Here is a 20,283-nt window from a genome sequence, read left to right on the forward strand (position 1 = left end):
GGAATCTTGTTAAATGATAGGAGACTACTTACGGCTGAAGCATAATTTTTGTGAGATTGCCAGGACCTCCTGAGATTACTTGACTTCTCCACTCTTCTATATCTGAATACAAATAAATGAAAACAAAAATAAAAACCATGCAAACAAATAAACAAAAATTAATTTTAAAAAGCCACTATGAAAGACAAAATGCACAAGACAATTAAGGATATAATTTTATTCTGGCTATGCAATCAGCAGAACTTTAATTGATAAAGAATGTCTCAAAGAGGAAGGGGATCATTAGGCACTTATAAAACAAGGTAATAATTGAGGAATGGTGGAGGTAGGCCTTATAAGGTGGTCATTTACAGTTTTTCTGAACACAAATTGTTGGGAGGATTTTGTAACTGATATGGCTTGGCTGTGTTTCCACCCCAATTTCATCTTGAATTGTAGCTCCCAAAATTCCTTCATGTTGTGGGAGGGACCCAGTGGGAGATAATTGAATCATGGGGATAGTTTCCCCCATACTGTTCTCATGGTGGTGAATAAGTCTCATGAGAGTTGACAGTTTTATAAGGGGAAACCCCTTTTGCTTGGCTCTCATTCTTCCCTTGTCTGCCACCATGTGAGACATGCCTTTCTGCTTCTACCATGATTGTGAGGCCTCCCCAGCCATGTGGAACTGTGAGTCTGTTAAGCCTCTTTCTTTTGTAGATTGCCAAGTCTCGGGTATGTGTGAAAACAGCAGTATGAAAGCAGACTAATACAGTAACCTTCTGTGTATTTTAGAAGCATGGTGCTCAGGTGAAATTTAACACTCTCACTACCAACCTCCCCTCCTTTGAAGAGCTTACAAGGGTAAAATTTAATCTTGGAATTTTTTCAACTCTATCAAAATGTGTATTACTCATATGCATTTCTCAGGTATAGCAGTATTAATAAGACAAATCAGAATGCAAATTATACATAAAAATAAATAAAATATCTAGCATTAACATGAAACTTCATATTTGGAATATAGAAAATTTAAGCCAAAATAAGTCTTTAATTTTTAGATATTGAGAAGTTTAAAAACAGTGACAAATTACATTCAGTGTGGTAAATATTTTGTAGTTCAAAATTAACTTTCTAATTCCCTAAAATGATATCATGTCTGTTTAAAGAATTACCTGTTTGACCCTGTGTCTTACATTGAATTTAAATAGTACCAAAAAAGAATATAATTTGCATGCAGTTGGTGCTCCATAAATATTTACGGATTATAGGGATTTATAATTTAGTTCAAATAATATTACTAAATATCAATATTCTTTCAAGTTTAATTTAAAGTTTATGTACAAAATCTATTTCTTAGAGATGAGAAGGCTTGTTTATTTAGAAAGGACAATGTCAATGGTTCTAAACAAAGGATGATTTCTCTCTCCAAGGGACATTGGACAAAGACTGGAAACATTCTAGATTGTCATAAAATGACTTTGAAGAGTGCTAATGGCATCTAGTAGGTAAGGTGAAGGTAAAGTTAAAGGTAAAGAGATACTGCTAAACAGCCTAGTTTGCACAGAACAGAATTATTTGGCTTGAAATGTCAGTAGTGCTGAGGATGAAAGTCCCCAAACTAAATGTGTTTGTATATAGATGAATATGTGCTCAAGTCCTTAGAGATCTAGATAATGTGCATCAATGTGTGTATTCATAATTTTCTGGAAATTCTGAAGCCCTGTACCTTCTTTGTCTAGCTAGAAAAGCTATGACAATCTATCACTATAATCTTAATTGAGAATGCTTCAATTTTGGTTGCCAATTATTCTCTGATGGAGCAAAGATGCTCTGGTTCTAACTAGAATAAACAAATGGCTTTCTTTTGATTTTGGATCCCCAGTCCAAAATAAAAAAGTAAAAAGATGATAGAGTAACACTGACATCATACAAATATAAATCCTAAATATCTAGAATATTATTAATTTTGGTCTTTGACTATTTGTAATTTTGAAAGAAACAATGAAAAGATTTGAAAGCTATGGCTTCAAAATATGTCTCAGAAATATTTTTTATCTTGGTACATTTCAGAGAGAGAGAAGAAAAGGGAGATTGTTTCGTTTCTTTCTATACTTAAAGATTCACAGACATTCATGTAACTATATGAAGAATTTTTTAATTTAACTTGGGGAGGAGGAGAATAATACATGATCAAACAAGGTCAGTTAAATAAAATGTAGTCAGTGAATTGTAGACTCATCAAAACAAGATTAGAATGATTAAATTTTTATATCTGACAGATTTTGTATTGTTAACAAAAATATATTTCAAAAATTGTAGTCACCCACATCAGAACATTTGTAAGGACAAAATACATAAAACAAAGCCACTGGAAAACGTCAATCACCTGAAATTTAGGCAAGAACAAAGAAAAGATGATAATATGAGGAAATAATTGCTACTATCTAAGCACATTGTTACCCTAAATAAGAGAGAGAGAGATCTTCATTTATTTGGAAATAAATGTTCCCAAATATTTTTTACCATTGCAATGGAAATATGCATGTCATAGTAAACTTTGTATTCAGGGAAGAAAAGGAAGATGAAGGTTTTTAAAGGAAAAAAAATAAGGAGAATTAGTTGTTTTGAAATAATTATCCTTGGTTACAAAGATCAGTAAAAAGTGTGACACCGGTCTAAGGTTGGACAGATAGTTGTTGGACAGATGTTCTTGCAGAAGTAGCTTTTGTTTAAGGTTGCAACAGCCTTTGTGCAGGGTTATGGTTTTTGCAGAGTCTTTTGCGATACTTTTTGTTATCAATCATACAAGCACGAGAACCTTCTCTTCATGCCATTTCTCAGCTGTTTGTCTGGGTTGTTGTAACACTAGTGATCCCCTTTTGATTCTGACAACTTTCACATTTCCCCCTTTGATTAAAATCTTTCTTTGAAAGTTTCACTGATTAATCATCTTGTAGTTAGGTTTTGATGTCCCTTGGTCCTGAAATGGTGCTGTCCTGGTTGCTGGTCTCATCTCACATTTGGGAGGAGTAATTGGTGCCTAGGAATCAGTATCAAAACCCTTTTAACCACACTTGAACCAGAAATGAACTTGAACAAGAGGAGAATGACTCTCAATCAAAGTCTACCTGGATTCCATTATTAAGTTAAATTTTGTCTGTTTCATAGTCGTTTGTCATCAACTATTTTGGGCCATCATAATTTTGTTAGTAGTTGTACTTCTGCAAAAAATTTAACAAGTAATAGTTACAAAGTTTAAAAAGGGACAAATATAAAGTAAAATTAATAATAATATGATAACTTCGGTTTGCATAATGGTTTTAAGCCATGGACCTAGGCTTAAAGGCAAAGAATTGAAAAAGCCAAATGATCATAGGAACTTAGGTGGTATCTGTTGTAACCATGTAGCCATTTTATTATTATTATTTTGTGTATATGGCTCTTAACTTTTGAAGAGGAATTTTTCCAGGTGCAGCATGGAGTGTTAACAATAGCACAGACCTTTTCTTACTAGCCAGTGGATATTAAAGGAATTTTTAGGTTAAGTTCTGTTAAGTTAACAGCAAAAGCTATTGACTGTAAAATTTCAATTATATCATTATACTGCCAAGGGAAAAGATAGGCATTAAGATGGGTGAGATTCTTGTTATGATAGGAAATTTTATTCTGACATCTTGAAAAAAAGCTTCCTACATCATGAAAATGTCAGCTTCTCCTGGATCAGTGTGAATGTCTTTGTTTATGACATTGAGTGATTTGATGAACTTTTTTTTGTAAAGCCTATATATCAGTCAGGAGGATTGTTCTTTAAAATTTATCTAGTTTCAGCTTACCAAATTTTAGGAACACAGTAGTTTTTATTTTTAGTTGTAGAATTGTAGCCAAATGTTATAGGAAATTAGGAGAGTTCAGGGTCTAGCCCAAACTACAGGTAGATAACAAGAACTTGAAAACAATGCACAGGGCTACAATCCAATGGCAGATATATCATAGACTTTTTCTTTAGAAATATAACTTTTTTTCTCTTTATGTAGGAATTTCAGATTATAAAACCTTTTGAGGCTAGGAAGCCAAACCAAGGCAGACTTTAGATTTTACTTACAGTCTTAAAGTACTTGAGCCTGCCAGGAAGTGACAATTTGTACTCACTCATGGTAAGGCTAGGGACTCTTGAAACAAGGCATTTTATGCACATTTTAAATACGTAATTTCAGTCAAAGTCTTGGTAATATAACCAATGCTTCCAATTGTATCCTGATTATAAATAGAGAGCATATTTTTACTAAAATTATGTAACTGATCATACTGTCATAAAAAATAAGAATACTCATGAATAGTTGCTGAATTTTGGAGGAATAAAATAGGGAAAAAAGCAAATGCTTCCATATTTGTTCACAAAAGTATACTTTACCAAATTGTTGTAAACTGTAGATTAGCATATGTGAGAAAGTTTTCTTAAATCTGGAAAACAAAACATTTAAGTAAAGAATGAACAATGTTTTAAATAAAAGCCATAAAATGGAAGCTTCATCAATTACTTAATTTCATGTAATCTTTTTGTTTTAATTGATCTTGATTAGTAGTTTCATGAACCTTTAGTTTATTTATTAGAGTTCTGGGAATTTTTATTTAGTTCATTAACCTTAGGGTTATCAGAAATTTGTGTTTAAGAATACATGCAAAAATCTTTTTGATAAAAAGTAAGTTTGGGCTGTAACTGATTGCAAATACTTTTGGAGAAGAATTCAAAACAATAACAATAGATAATAAAATCTTTCAATAGCCATAGTCAAAAATTTTATGAAAATTCCCAGCCGACAAGGAAATTCAGTTATTTCTATTACATATAGCATTTTATGATAACCATAATCATGTAATGGGGTCACATCAGGACCATCAGACTTTTATAAATTTCATAAAATCTTTAGAACGCTCACATTAATAAAGTGTCTGTACAAATATAAGTTTAGAAAAGATTTAATATAACAAAAATTATGACTGAAACATATTTGATTTTTATAAATGTTTATACTTTTTGAAACATTTTTATTAATAATATACCCATAAATGTCACTGAAAGATATAGTGTCACTTATCATTTGGCAATGCTTCAAATAGAATTTACCAAATAAGTCTAATTATTTAACATCTTTACAAGATGAGAGGTACACTTTTTGATGCTCTCCAGGGGCCCACTGGGAAATGCCAAAATTAATTCTTGGTCAAAAAGACTTAACTTAGAACTTTGATTTGGGGGAAGCCCATCAAAAATGACAAAATTTTCAAAACAATTGATTAAAACAGATTCACAGGTCACTATAAAATAATATTCATTCAAACAGAAAAATACTTTAAAAACTTCAAAAGCAATACAGAAATTTACATGGATTTAACCAGAAAGGTAAAGAAAAACCTCCTATAATGAAATTGTTTCTTATTATGGGAAGCCCATTTAGAAAACCTGGAGGTTGAATCTGATGAAAAGGGTACTTGAATTTTATGAGACACAGTAAGAGGGTGTCCAGGCTTATGAGTCTGAACTATATTATAGAAGAATGTAAAAAGAAAACTAGTACCTTGAGCAGGGTAATACATGGCTTTTACTACAAGCATGGGAAGTTTCCTGCTTACGGAGAAAATTCAGTCAAATTTTGAAAAAGGCAAGAATAGAGAAACAAGTAATACTGGAGGAAGAATTCCTTCTTTAGAACTTCAAGATAAACATTTCAGCATCAGGCCATATCAGCAGAGGTACAAGTAGAGAAAACGAAATGTTACAGAAACTGAAGAAAAGATTGAAGAAGCGAGTTATCACCACCACCAAGCAAAAAGATACACTGTTTGAAGAAAAGAAAGAACAAAAGGCAATGATGTATGACCTGCAAATCATGTGCAGAAGATACAGCAAAAACTGAACGTATGAGATAGAAATCTGAGAAGCTTCAAGAAGAAGAATTTCACCTCAAGAAATGAAATTACCATTCTCAATGAAAAAGACAACATTTCCAACCGAAACTAGGGGAATTAAATAGACCTCAGGAAAAAGTGTTGCAAAAATAGAAACTCCCTGTAGTTTAAAAGATGGCTGTTAAAGAATTAAATATCAGAATTAAAAACTTAACCTCTTACATTTTATTAGGAGCAAATCAATAATTTAAGAAAACCTTGTTTTTCTAACATAGGAAATCACATATTGTAGTTTTATATTAATGTAATTTTAATATCCAGGATCAATCTTTAGAAAGACTTACAAATAACACTAATTATAGCCATCTTGATTACACACAAAATTTCTTTCATATATTTTTCCTTTACAAATTTTATCATGACTTACTCAGACCATTGATGACATATTTGGACTTTCTGCTTTGTCCTATACTTCCTCTTTTTTAAGTAGCCAGTCATTGTACTTCAGGACAAAAGTTTGTCAAATAAAATTCTTTCTCACACGAAATTATTCTCTTTTATTTTTCACCTTTCTTACCAAAAATATACCTTGATATCCATAATTTTCTTCACATCTCTCTCTCCTACTTACTAGTTCCTTTCCTTCCTTTCTTTCTTGTTTCTAATTACATCCTAAATCTGTATTTTTGAGAAACATTTAAATACTCTTTAAATCACCCAAAATTATAATTTTTCCTCAATAAACAACACATGTTGGTGCCTTTCTTATCATTTTTTCTTATTAAAAAAGAAAAAAGTTAGTTTTAGGCACACTTTCTGCAGTGAATTACATATATATTAATTAGATTTTTAACTATTAGTAACTTCAATTTTTAGCAAGCAGTTTTAAAGATCACATATCAGGTTTTTTTGTTTTTTTTTTTTTGGAGATGGAGTCTCACTCTGTTGGGATTACAGGCTCCTGCCACCATGCCCAGCTAATTTTTTTGTATTTTTTGTAGAGACAAGGTTTCACCATGTTGGCCATGCTGATCTTGAACTCCTAACCTTAGGTGACCCACATGCCTCGGCCTCCCAAAGTGCTGGGATTACAGGCATGATCCATTGCACCTGGCCCACATATCAGTATTTTTAGATGGAAATCATTTTATAATGTTTAGAAACATATTTCTCATAATATTTGTCTATATTAATAGATACAAATATATTTAGCTTTTCCATAAAATTTAAGAAGCCAAGAACAAATTTATATTTATGTTCAGCAATTTGTTTATTTTTTATCTTGTTTAAAATGACTCAGATCTTTAATGAGTATCTATAATTTAACATAACTTTAAGATTTTAAATTACTTAAGAAGTTTATTTATAGCAGTCTATCCCATTTACATTTACCTAATGTATTAGTCTGTTTTCACACTGCTATGAAGATACTATCTGAGACTGGGTAATTTATGATGAAAAAAGGTTTAATTGACTCATAGTTATACATGGCTGGGGAGGCCTCAAGAAACTTACAATCATGGTAGAAGGTGAAGGGGAAGGAAGGCACGCCTTACCTGGCAGCAGGAGAGAGAAAGAGCAAGGAAGTGTCATGCTTTAAAACCATCAGCTCTTATGGGAACTTATTATCGCCATAACAGCGTGGGAAACCACCCCCAAGATCCAATCACCTCTCACCAGGTCCCTCCCTCAACTCATGGGGATTACAATTAAAGATAAGATTTGGCTACGGACACAGAGCCAAACCCTATCACCCAATTTACTAACTTTTTAAAAACAGTTTACCTAGATTACTTATTAAAACAGATATTAGGTAAAACTAGTCATCATAGCCTGTGAATACCAGGTGTTTACCTAAGTAAGAACCTCAAATATATGGATATTTTATTGTTAACTCAGAAGATATAGTCACTTTCATTAAACCAACAATATTAACTTAGTCTTACCAAAATTACACAAAGGTCATTCCATTTTAGGCTGGGTTTTGTAAAAGTTTTATAACTTTTGTGTCAAATCTTGACACCTTAATGCATCTGTCTGAGACAAGTATAAAATTGTCAAAAAATACTGATAATTTTGAAGATATTTCTTTTTTTATTTTACCAATGATTTTAAAGCCAGCTTCTTTACTAAAAATTTACTTAAGTCACATTAACTGGAAACCATTTCGGTTAATTACTATGTATTTTATATTTTAGATGACAGTCCATTTATCTAAGCCAATATGAATAGAATTCCTTAAGGGATTTCTGGCTGACTATGCCAGAATTTATTTTGTAGACACAAGATATAATATATTACATGTAAATATGCATAAATATACCGAAACACTGTGTACATACACAAATAAAGACCTTGTAGCTTTCATTCTAGAATTTTAGTCATGAGGTAGTAATATAATCACACTGGTTTATGAAAGACAGTTGAACCAAAATTATATTTTTGTTAAAATCAGGACCTCTTCACAAGCCTAAACTGTACGTGTCCTGATAGGTAGTTTAATGATGGCTGTGGGCCAAAATTTTGAGTAAAATGAGTTTAATTTAAAAAAAAAAACTCACCCTCTTTCCTCTTTCAGTGTTTACATTTTAACTATTTTTTTTTCTGAATTGTATAAGAAAAAAAAAATTTCCTAATAGCCTTGAACTAGTAACAAATGTATTTTTTGTTTGTTACTTTGGTTTGCTAGACTACCAAATTCAGGCAGAGAATAATTTTACCATCTTCTTGGAAGACTAGGGGCAGAGGGGCTTTTTCTTTTTGGCCTCTGCATGGTAGAAAATATAAAATTTTTATGTCAGAGATACCTTATATTATTGCTCTGAGGTAAGGATTTTGACCTGTTTGATCTGAGTGCCTAATTCCTATAAACATTTATTTGATTCTCTACCTTTTAGGTTATTAATTTTTGAACCATAGAGCTGTTGCAATTTATAAAGTCATTATTTTGAAATCCCATAAAAACTTTTTTCTTTCTTTTTTTCTTTTTTTTTTTTTTTTTACATTTTGGCTGGAATGCCATAAGCAGTGAGTTTTAGCTCAATGCCAGTGGAAAAGTCAGCAGATTCAAAGTAGGCAGAAAAAAGTATATATATATATAGCAGAGAACATAGAAGACTATACATGTTAACTTAGAGTTACGGGTTTTTGGAATAATGATCGTTTTAGCTCTGAATTTTCCATGATGTAATTTTACCCATCAGTTTAAAAAATATGTGGAAGAATGAGCTATACTATGTAACCAGCTAGAGTCCCAGAAAACTTGGTATGCCTTAATGTTTGGGAATCCCAATAAGATTTTTATCAATCTCTCAGAAACAAAGAAAATTTTATAAATTCTATAGAGGCATGTCAGGAGTTTAGACTGATGTTTTTACATGGTGGCAAAGCCCAGTGGCTTTAATTAGCCATCCTTCAATCACCACTTAGAATGTTTATTTTTGCTCTGGAAGGATTTTCAGAAACAAGCAAGGGGAAAGGGTCAAACAAAATCAAAGATACCAAGATGAGTATTCACTGAAATTTTAAATCAGGCATGCAGATCAAACAAAATATTCAACTAGGCACGCAGACCAAACCAAAAGTAATTTATTAGAAAAGACATGCCTCACAGACAAAATGTAAATTCTGAAGAAATCAGAATACTCAATCCAGAAAGACGTATATGTTTATATCAGAAAAAAAAATTACCAAATAAGACAAAATGTCTTTTATCATCCCAGGAGGCATGTATTGTCTTTTGTTAAGGTATCCTTATCTAAATCAGACCCCTAATATCGAATGTCTTCTACCACAATATCCTTATCTAAACCAGACCCCTAACAATATCGAATGTCTTCTACCACAACGAGAGAGGCGCCATCAGAGGGAAGACTCACCAGGGCAGAAAAGGCAGGCCATGGAAGGGGAGAACGCAAAGAACCCCAGTGACTACTGCACACGGGTTCCAAAAATCACAAGTTCCTCCCAGGATTGCTCCTTTCCAGTCCCCATTTCTGACACCATATGTGTCAATGTGAATAACAGAGAAGCACTATAAAAGAAAAAGATATTTATTGGGGTATAAGCATTGCAATGGGAATACCTGTGTCACAGTAAACTATGCATATTCAGAAAGGTAAAGGAAGTTAAAAGATTTTAAAAAAATGAAGAGAATGACATAATTGTTTAGAAATAACTATTTTTGGCTATAAAGATGAATAACAAAGGTGATGCCAGTCTGAGGTTAGAGAAGCAGTTGCTGGGCAGATGTCCTTGCAGAAGTATTTTTTGTATAAGGTTGTAATGGCCTTTATGCCTTTGTAATGCTATTACAATGGCATTAAAGTTGTAATGGAATTAAGCCAAAAGGTTGTTGCTTTTGCAGTCTTTTGTGATAGTTTTTGTTATTGAGCATACAAGCAAAAAACCTCTTCATGGCCTTTGGCCTTCTCCAGCTCTATTTGTCAGGGTTTTCTTTATTTTATTTTTAACATTAGTGACTGGATTTTGATTGTGACAACTTTCACAACATGTACATATATCAACTGATTCATTTAGTCCTTTCTGAATTATAATTTAAAATACATATTGACATTTGGGATTTATTAACCATCTATACATACAGACAAGTTTTTTTTTTATTAAAATATTCTTTCTTCACGTTTCCTTTTTTTATTTTCTTTCTTTTCTTCCCCTTCCTCTACTTACTGTTAAAGAGCATTTCAATTGGGTACAATTTATTTAAAGTTGGTCTTTTCATGGAGCTCAAATCACTTAGTAGAAAAGGGAGTTAACAAAGTCATGGTTATCAGGTTGACTTCACAGGGAGAAATCTTTACCATAGCCCAATAAAATTAACTTTAGATTTGCCCCATTCTGTACCTATCTTTCCACATAGCATTAATACTCTCATCAGTGAAACCTGAGGCCCACTAAAGCGTAGGCTAATCTATGGGAGGAAAATATCTTTTTTTCTACTAATTTTAGGTTCATGGCTGAGGGCCCTATAATAAAAGACAGATTAACAAGAGAAATGCATACAAATGTATTCAGTTTAGTTTCGCATGTCATGGAAGTCTTCTTGAGGATATGCAAAGTCCACAACATAGTTAAAACTAAGTGTTTTTCATGATAGGTTTAAGGAATAGTGGATAGTTGTGGAGAAACATGATAGATCATAGAGGGTGTGATCTAATGCAAGTAAACCAATGGGGAGGAGTAGATCCCGCTTGGCAATACCTGTGTGTTCTGATTCTTCTCTGTGTCCTTGTCTTGAGAGGTAAGGATGTACCTTTCTTCCCTTTATAGAGGAGACACTCCTAACGCAAAAGTTTTATCATTGGCTTTAGGAGAAAGTCAGGAGGTCCTTATTATGTTTTATGACCTGGTTCAGGGAAGAAGGGCACAAGGAGCGGGGGTGACATTCCTGCTTCTACTGTTTTCTCAAATTACTTAAAATATTCAATTGCCAAGGTGACATATTTTGAGGTAGTGTGTCTTGAACTCCATCAGTAACAAGGGCCAGGTAGTTAACAAATGTGTGAACAGCCTTCATGGGAACTGTGGCAAACTTGACAGTGCCCTGAAAGGAGTGAGCATTAGAGACGTAGCTTCTGGCTTTCGTTCTCCTGTATTATGACGGTTTGCTGCCTAGTGTTGCTAAACATTCTAGTTTTGTTACTTTTTCTTTTTTTTTTTTTGTTTTTTTAAGATAGTGTCTCATTCTGTCTCCAAGATGCAGTGCAGTGGCACGATCTTGGCTCACTGCAAGCTCCGCCTCCCAGGTTCAAGCCATTCTCCTGCCTCAGCCTCCCAAGTAGCTGGGACTACAAGTGCCCGCCACCACGCCTGGCTAATTTTTTGATTTTTAGTAGAGACAGGGTTTCACCATGTTGGCCAGGATGATCTCCATCTCTTGACCTCATGATCTGCCCGCCTCAGCCTCCCAAAGTGCTGGGATTACAGGTGTGAGCCACCGCGCCTGGCCAGAATTTACATTTTAAATGATATCTCCCAAATTTTTTTTAAATGCCTTTTTTGATCTTTCTGTTCTTTTCCTTTCCTTTTTTTTATTTTCTTTTTGAATATAGTACATCATACATATCTGAAAATACTAATTTGGCACTTCTGACACAGATGTTGATATTTTTCCCAAAGGGTACTAAGTCAGAATATATTAACATTCTATTAGAAATCTACTCAAATAGTTGCCACTGGGGTTTGACATGACAAGAATAGCATTTTCATTAAAGGACCAGAATGTGGCTCTAAGAAACTGTCTAGCCAAGCAAATAAATCTTGCATAGAATCCCAAAATGCTATTGTTAACTGAGGCAGAGGTTTATGAAATACTTATCTATAAAAGCTGTACTTCAATATGGCAGCTTTGGGCTTGGGGAAGGATTGGGGTAAGATATTTAAGGCAATTAATATATATTCACAGTGGTAGAAATGCTTGCTCTTCATTATTGCCTTCCAAACACTCAATTTTCTAACCTTCTGAACACATTTTTCTTCTTTTCACATGGAAATGGTAAAGTCAGTAAGCCAATTCAGTAGACTGAAACCAGACATATTTACATGGTAAGTTTTGTTGTAGAGATGGTGGTGCAGGTTTATTTTTGCTGTTTTAATGCAACTCTGGATGCCAAATTGGAGATTGTTGTATGCCAATTGTTCTCAGTGTCAACCTAAAATAAAAACAGAAAGAGAGAGACTCTCCCAAAAAATGATTTTACTTGAGAATAAATAACAGAGGATTGTAATCCAGGACACACAAGCTATGAAAAAAATCATAGGTGTATCCAGATAACCTGAGATAATGAGAAATTTTTAAAGGCAAAAAGGAGTCCTCATAAACTGCTCCGAATAAAGGTATGTTGGTCACAGAAGCTCATTTCTGGAGCTGATGTCAGCCCGTTGGTAAACATACCCATTGCTAGGCAAGTGTTCTTGTGAAAGCATCTAATCTGTAACACTGCTGTCTTGAAGAATTTCTTAGATAAATCTTGTTGAAAAAATATATGTGGACATATAGAAAAAGCCAGCCAGGTAAGGTAAGATATGAAACACATATAGGACATACAGAAACTTTTTGTGGACTTCAGAAAAGCCTTTTTGATAATTCTTATCTCAAACACGGATGAGTCCCCTTCTTTCATGACTTCCCAGCTATACCTTGTTTGGGTCTGACAGGAGTGACTTCATCTTAGTATCAGCAATGTTCACGTTCAACTTTCACGTCAGTTTTGAGTTCATATTAGAATAATCTGGGGAACTTTCAAAAACTCTGATGTCCTGGCTGCTTCCCATTATAATTAAATTAGAGCCTTTTGGTGGCGTATGAAAGGGATCCAGACATCAGTATTTTTCTAAACTCTTTAGTTAGAAAGAGCAGCCTTAAATGATGCAGCTAAGGCAGAGAACTATCATTCTCAGTGATTTCCAGTAGTAATTTTTATCTCCATGACAGGAATCTCAAAAACCATGAGGCCCAGCTAAATTATATGTATCCAATTATTTAACAGAAATTTGTTAAAATATTTTGGTAGAAATATGCCTGTAATAATAAGGGAAAGTTGATTTGATCTGGAATTTAGTTAAATTGTAGAAGAAAGAAAATCACATAGAAATTGTCTTTTGAGTGAATCTGAACAATAAATATGTATTTTTGGCCAACGTAGAATGAGATATTGGGTGGGATAGAGTAAGCATGGGTGAGAACAATTTGTCCAACTTTGATTGTCTAAGGACAATCTATCTGTATACAACTCACAAGTTGATTATACTCCCTAAAATTTAGTACATAGAACACTGTTAAAATTTTTTTTCATTTATTATATTAAATAAATTAACTTTAAAATTTTGATAACATTTGCCAGAGTGAAGTTCTCAAACTTTAATGTACATCATAATCATCTGGAGGGCTTATTAAAACACAGATTGCGAGATCAGCCCAGCAAACATGGTGAAATCCCATCTCTACTAAAAATACAAAAATTACACGGGTATGGTGGTGCGCACCTGTAGTCCCAGCTACTCCGGAGGCCAAGGCAGGAGAATTGCCTGAATCCTGGAGGCGGAGGTGCAGTGAGCCCAGATCATGCCACTGCACTCCAGCCTGGGTGACAGAGAGAGACTCCGTCACAAACCAGAAACAACACAGATTGCTTCTGCTTCATCTTCCAGTTTCTGAATTGACAGGTCGGGGTGGGGCCCCCAAATTTTTATTGCTAACAAGTGCCAGGTGATGCTGCTGCTGCTAGTGCAAGCACAATGCTTTGGGAACCACTGTCCTATAAAGGATACCTCATCAATCTGGCGATATGGTCAGGATTTAGATGAGAAACTTTTTAGTAAACTATTTTACTTTTGTGAGCCTCCTCATCTACAAAACAAAGAGGTTGGACTAGATTGTATCTCCTACAAAGAAACATTGGATAGGTTAATAATGAGAATCCCTTCGAACTGAAAATATTCTTTAGAATAGGATAAGTGTTTTACGAAAGAAGGGCAAAGAAGTATTCAGTCTCTACTATAAATAAGAAATTCAGATTATTCCTAAACTTTAATACCCAGTTAGCAAAAAGAAGCCCAGTACCTAGACAGACCCTTTATACCTTGACAGTAGTTTGGAGATCATTTTTCCTCTCTTTTATATCTCATCACATCCTCTGAGAGCTGCGAGATATTTTTCATAGTGTGTTTTCCAGTCGCTGGTCTTGCTGTCTCTGAAAGGAGTCCTGTTATTTATACATATTTTTTCATCTAATTACATTTCCATTGAGGTCTTACTGCTCTACAGAGATTGCTACCTTTTAGCTATTGGCTGATCCACCTTTTAAATCTAGTTTTTCTAAATTCTCAAACAGTTCTGGGTAGCATTCTCTCATCTGGATTGCAAACAGATGAGGTTCTAGTAGAACTCCAGGGACTTTATGCTTCAAAGCATATAATGATGGTTGGACCAGTGGAGGGAGCTATTTACTTGAGAATCACTGACCTTTTTGGTATAAGGCAAATATGAACACACTTTGTTGCTGGTGACGAAGCTGGTGCTAAAACACTTATCCCTCTGAGTCAGCATTTTCACTGAGCTACACCACTTATTTTGCTTTTAATTTGGAAAGAGATTTACCTTACATTATTGCCTCAAAGGACTGTTCCTTCAATGGCTTTTGTGACTAAGTGGAATGTTGGTAAGAGCTGAAAGTAGGAGATGATCTATAAGGTAGGACAAGAGAAAGGCTATTTGCTAAATAAGGTGAACAGTTCCTTATTAGTAAGCATATTTGAGGATGCTCAGTCTTAACTCATATAAGCAATAAATTACCTCTGATAAGAAAAGTAAAAAAAAAAGTACTTCTCCCTCAGTGCATATTTAACTTTCAAGTCACATTATCTTCGGAGTTCCAGAGTTAATGATTATTTATTTTAATAGAATGAGTAGATTTAAATTGATTAAATATAGTGTTGAATTTCAGGACTGATGAGGAGTGCCACTAATCTGAAGAAGGCCAGATGTATGAATGGAAGAGAATATTTAATGATGTTTGATAAAATTTAAGAATGCTAGGCTAATAAAAGGATAACATGAAATTAACCTTTTAGATTCCAGAGTTTAAATTTCTGTTACATGTTTTTCTGTGCCATGCTATGGTTTATGATAGTTCAGAATATCTGATAAGCCTGTAATTTATACATGTTTTTGTTTTTGAATGAGACTATGAACAATAATAAACAAAGCTTAGTTTACAAGATATTTAAAAATTTGTTTCTAATTTTTACAACTGTGTACATTTTTGTCATAGTTAATGTAATTGAAAATGATGGCTCAAAAGAATGGAGAGGAAACAGAGATGTAGTCAAGGGACTAGGTTCTAAAGCTGCCTTCTCTTCTAGTTGTGTAATATTTAGGTAATTGCTTACCCTCAGTGGGTTTCAATTTCCTTAATTTAAAATTACAAGGTTTAACTTCTAGGCCTTTCCAGTTTTGATATTTTGATTTGTTAAAAGTGATTCTTGGTTATAGTTAGGTCACTTAGTTTACCAAATTAAACTGAAAAGCTGAGCATCCCGAGCGTGTTTTAAAATCACATTGATTCAAATACAGATTCATATGTGGAAAATGGTCAAAGTTTAATGTTATATGGTTAAAAAATACATATATTTTAAGTTATAATTTTTGATCACAGTTATCTGAGAATTAGTAATAACTTTTACTAATATATTTTGTTTCATTATTAAAATTACTAATTTTTTACCATTTTTACATAATGTGCTTTTATAATTCTTTTAGTCTTCAAAAATATTAAAATTCCTCCCTCCCTCCCAAATATGGTGTAGTTAGAATCTTTAAAAGGTAACGTTGAGGCCAGTTGTAGTGCCTCATGCCTGCCCTCTAATCCCAGCTACTCAGGAGCCTGAAGCCAGAGGATCACCTGAGCCCAGGAGTTTGACTCTACAGTGAGCTAAGATCACACTTCAGCCTGGGCGAGACCCTGTCTCTTAAAAAAAATTAGTCTAGGTTTACATAAGAAAATAATGTCAAATAAATGTATATTATATATTACATACTGATACATTTTATTTGGAAAAAATGCTGTAAATATAATTTAGAAAGCTGATAACTAGCTTTTAGAAATCCCATTAAGGTCTTTAAAATATTGTTACACCACTCTTAATTAGACTGAGAGCCTTGTGAACTGCTTTGTAGTCTAGTCAAGTCTGTTAAGTTCTATGAATTCCTTGGTTGAGATTTTCTACCGATAGATGGCAGTTTTCTGTGATTAAAAAAAAAAAATCAAGTTCAGAAGCCTTTGCAGAGCAATCTGTTTAGTTTTGCAAGGCTTGCTCTTCCTACTAAAAGTTTAGAAATATGACATATGATATGCTTCTCTTGCCCAGAGAGAGATTACTTCGTGATAATATACAGATTTGGATTTTGAATTGCATTTCAGGCAATCAGAGATGTCACTAAAGATTTTATTTCATGTACAAGTACATATGTAGTTCTTGCTGTAAATCTCATCTCTAGAAAGCATTAATGTAACTTATTTAACAACAAATGTATTAGAAAATAATGGAGAACTACGTGTATAGTATTTTCCTTTAATCATCGTTATCTTTTATACAAATAACCATGAGAATATAAGTTTGATGTACTTGACAACTTCCTTTTTCAGAATATGTTTAGCTTTCTGGATTTAGGACTACAGCCTTCTACCATTTTGTGTAAAGACATTTCTAGTCTATTTATTATTGATTACTTTTATATGATTCTTAACATAATAAATTCAAAATCATACCCTTAAAACTTCACCTTGGCCGCATGCATTCAATTTTATGTTTCCTCTGCTGGCCTGAAATCACTAATGAAAGCCTGAATGTTGTAAGACAATGAGGATTGCCCATCAGTTACAGAGATTAGTCAACTGTGTAATGAAGTCTTGTTTGTTTGCTTTCTTTTATATAGCACTTAGTGTATCTCAACACATTTTCAGCTGCTTGGTGATATTGCTCATTTCAACATTTCGCCTAAACTTTTTGCGTCATTTTACTAACCATTACTGAACTTTATTTCATTTTGTATACCTAGTAAGGCAGTGCCAAAGTAATTGGAACTTGAGCAGATAATAGGCACCAAAATAGGATAACAGCAATACTAAAAGAGAAGGCATCAAAGATGATAAGAAATCAGAAACTACATTTACTATATTTCTGTACACATTATTTACAAGATTTTAAAACTAAAGTAAAAAGCAAATACATGTTTATGATTATAAATACATATCTACATATATATATAGTAGGATTACAACAGTAAAATATGTAAGTCCCCTATTGATATTTGTCTGGGTTGATTTCCAAGGCCAACAATGAATTTTCTGATTCTCTGGATGAAACTCGGTTTTCAACAATTCAATTCATTTCTGACACTAACTACTTGGAGTTAGCACAGGCTCTACAGCTTTAGGGCTCACTCCCATAAGAGTAACTCCACTTTAGACCCCAATTACAAGCCTTGGGCCACCCATACATCTGACTGGCTGTCTATAAATTGGAGTGCCCCGAATTTCTCCCCTAAGGTTTGATAGTTGGTCAAGAGGTCTCACAGAATTTACGGAGACACTTCACTTATTAGTAAATAAACTAATAAACTTATTGGTTTATTATAAGGAGTGCCACTCAAGAAGAGTCAAATGGAAGAGCTACATAGGGCAAGGTATGGGGATGGGGGTGGGAGTTTGCATAGAGCTTCCATGTTTTCTCGGACTGCACCATACTCGCAGCACCTTGATGTGTTTAACAGCCTGGAAGCTCATCAGATTTAGGTGTTCAAGTGTTTTTTGCTTGTTTGTTTGTTTGTTTGTTTGTTTTTGAGATGGAGTCTCATTCTCTTGCCAGGCTGGAGTGCAATGGTGTGATCTTGGCTCACTGCAACCTCCACCTCCCATGTTCAAGGGATTCTCCTGCCTCAGACTCCCGAGTAGCTGGGACTGCAGGCGCTTGCCCCCACACCTGGGTAATTTTTTGTATTTTTAGTAGAGATGAGGTTTCACCGTGTTAGCCAGGATGTTCTCCATCTCCTGTCCTTATGATCTGCTCGCCTCGGCCTCCCAAAGTGCTGGGATTACACACGTGAGCCACCGTGCCCGGCCTCAAGTGTTTTTATAGAGCTTACTCTCCAGCCTCTCCTAGCCTTCCCAGAAGTCACTGAATTGGACTAAAAGTACCAATACTTTGATCACTTGGTCTTTCTGGAGGCTAGCCCCATCCTGAGGTTATCTGGAGGCCCCATCCTAGTTCGTCTCACTAGCATAAACTTAGGTGTCATCAGAAAGAGCTCATTATGAATAACAAAAGACATTGCTGTTACTCAAATCCCAAGCGTTTTAGGAGCTCTGTGCCAGAAACTTGGATAAAGACCATACTATCCTATTCCATTTTTAATAGTCTGGTCTGTATCCTTCTCAGCTTTTGCCCATGTGGACTCTGTGCCAGACTTAATTTGAATCAAAGAAAAAGAAGTAAGTTATGCTATATTATGAAGATTAATGAGAGCACCAAAATTTAAATATGTATCACAATTGTATGAATTAAAATATATTTTATATGTTCTTATTTTTTTAAGAGATGGGGTCTCATTATGTTGCCCAGCCTGGCCTCAAACTCCTGGGCTGTAGCATTTCTGAAGGTCCTAACTAGCTGGGATTACAGACGCACCATTGTTCCTGGTTTATGTTTTTAAAATTTTTTTCCATATTGAATGATTTTGCTTTTAATTCTAATTTTGACATTAATACAGATACTACTTTTTTATTAGTATTATCTTAGCATATTTGTGCGTCTTTTTATTTTTAACCTTTTTAACATTCTAATTTAATTACTCGTATATAGCATTTCAGCAATTTTTGTAAGTTCAACAAATGCTAGCTTCTATTACATATATGCATATACATACACACAACAAACATTTGAAATACAGGGAAATTTCAGCCTGAAAGCTCACAATCTACCACTAATAGTTTTGTTTTGCTGAAAATTAATCACATGTATCTTTACTGAAAATAATTAATTTGACAATATTATTTTTAACAATTAAGGAATCATAACTTTTTAAATCATATTTCTAAGAATTTTCTGAGGCTGTTTCAGGAATGCTTTATCATTCTATTGCCAAGTATTAGTCAGCAATTTTGGCTGGAAGCCTACAAGCAGAATGGAGGTGTTGTAAGCTGAAAATAAACGTATTAAAAGGTGTTGGGTAGCTCAAAAAACAAAACAAACAGAAAATGGAAATAAGTAAGGAAGTTAGGCAATATCCAGTCCTGTGACAAAAACAAGTTCAGCAAAGCATTTTGTGCTGTAATTTTGCTGATCATTAGATGCCACAGATTGCTCTACTGCTAGTAAGCAACAGTGGCCTCTGGATAAAGCTGCTGTTGTCACTGCCACTTCTGTTCCTGGAGACCACTGCACCTCCTGCCACTGCAACGGATTCTCTGTTGTCTGAATAAGAGCATCTGAGTGTTGTACTTAGGTCACTCGCTCATGGCCTAAAAACAAGGGAGTCCTGATAATTTGTTTGTCTTTATCTGGGCTTTCTGCCTTCTAGAGTCGGGATCAATTCTACCTGCAACCAAGATTCACAGAGCAGCAATGTTCCAATATAGAAACAGAGTTTATATTCAGGGTAACAACTATAAGACAAATAATGACTGCTACAGAGCAGCCATTAAAGAGATTGAGAAGTTAAGATTTAATATTGTAAATTAACTTTTGGGATAAATAGTCATACTTGAATCACAAAAATGTAACCTGTAAGGAACCATGGAAACCATCTCATGTAGCTGCTTTTTTTTTTTTTTTCCTGTTAGGCAACTGAGTATGAGTGATTAAGTGTCTTGTCCA

At 34.1% G+C, this 20,283-nt stretch overlaps 1 long non-coding RNA gene across 5 annotated transcripts in view; it reads left to right on the forward strand.

Annotated features, from left to right (window-relative positions):
• Positions 1-20,283, forward strand: part of LINC01322 (long intergenic non-protein coding RNA 1322) — a 332,490-nt gene that overhangs the window by 33,182 nt on the left and 279,025 nt on the right. The window contains exon 2 of one of the 5 annotated variants that reach the window (NR_174101.1): positions 18,277-18,394. The exons of the other annotated variants lie outside the window; for them this stretch is intronic. This is a non-coding gene — a long non-coding RNA (long intergenic non-protein coding RNA 1322). The remainder of the gene's footprint in view (positions 1-18,276; positions 18,395-20,283) is intronic. 5 annotated transcript variants of the gene reach the window in all.

The sequence above is a fragment of the Homo sapiens genome, chromosome 3, assembly GCF_000001405.40.
Source record: "Homo sapiens chromosome 3, GRCh38.p14 Primary Assembly".
NCBI lineage: Eukaryota > Metazoa > Chordata > Mammalia > Primates > Hominidae > Homo > Homo sapiens.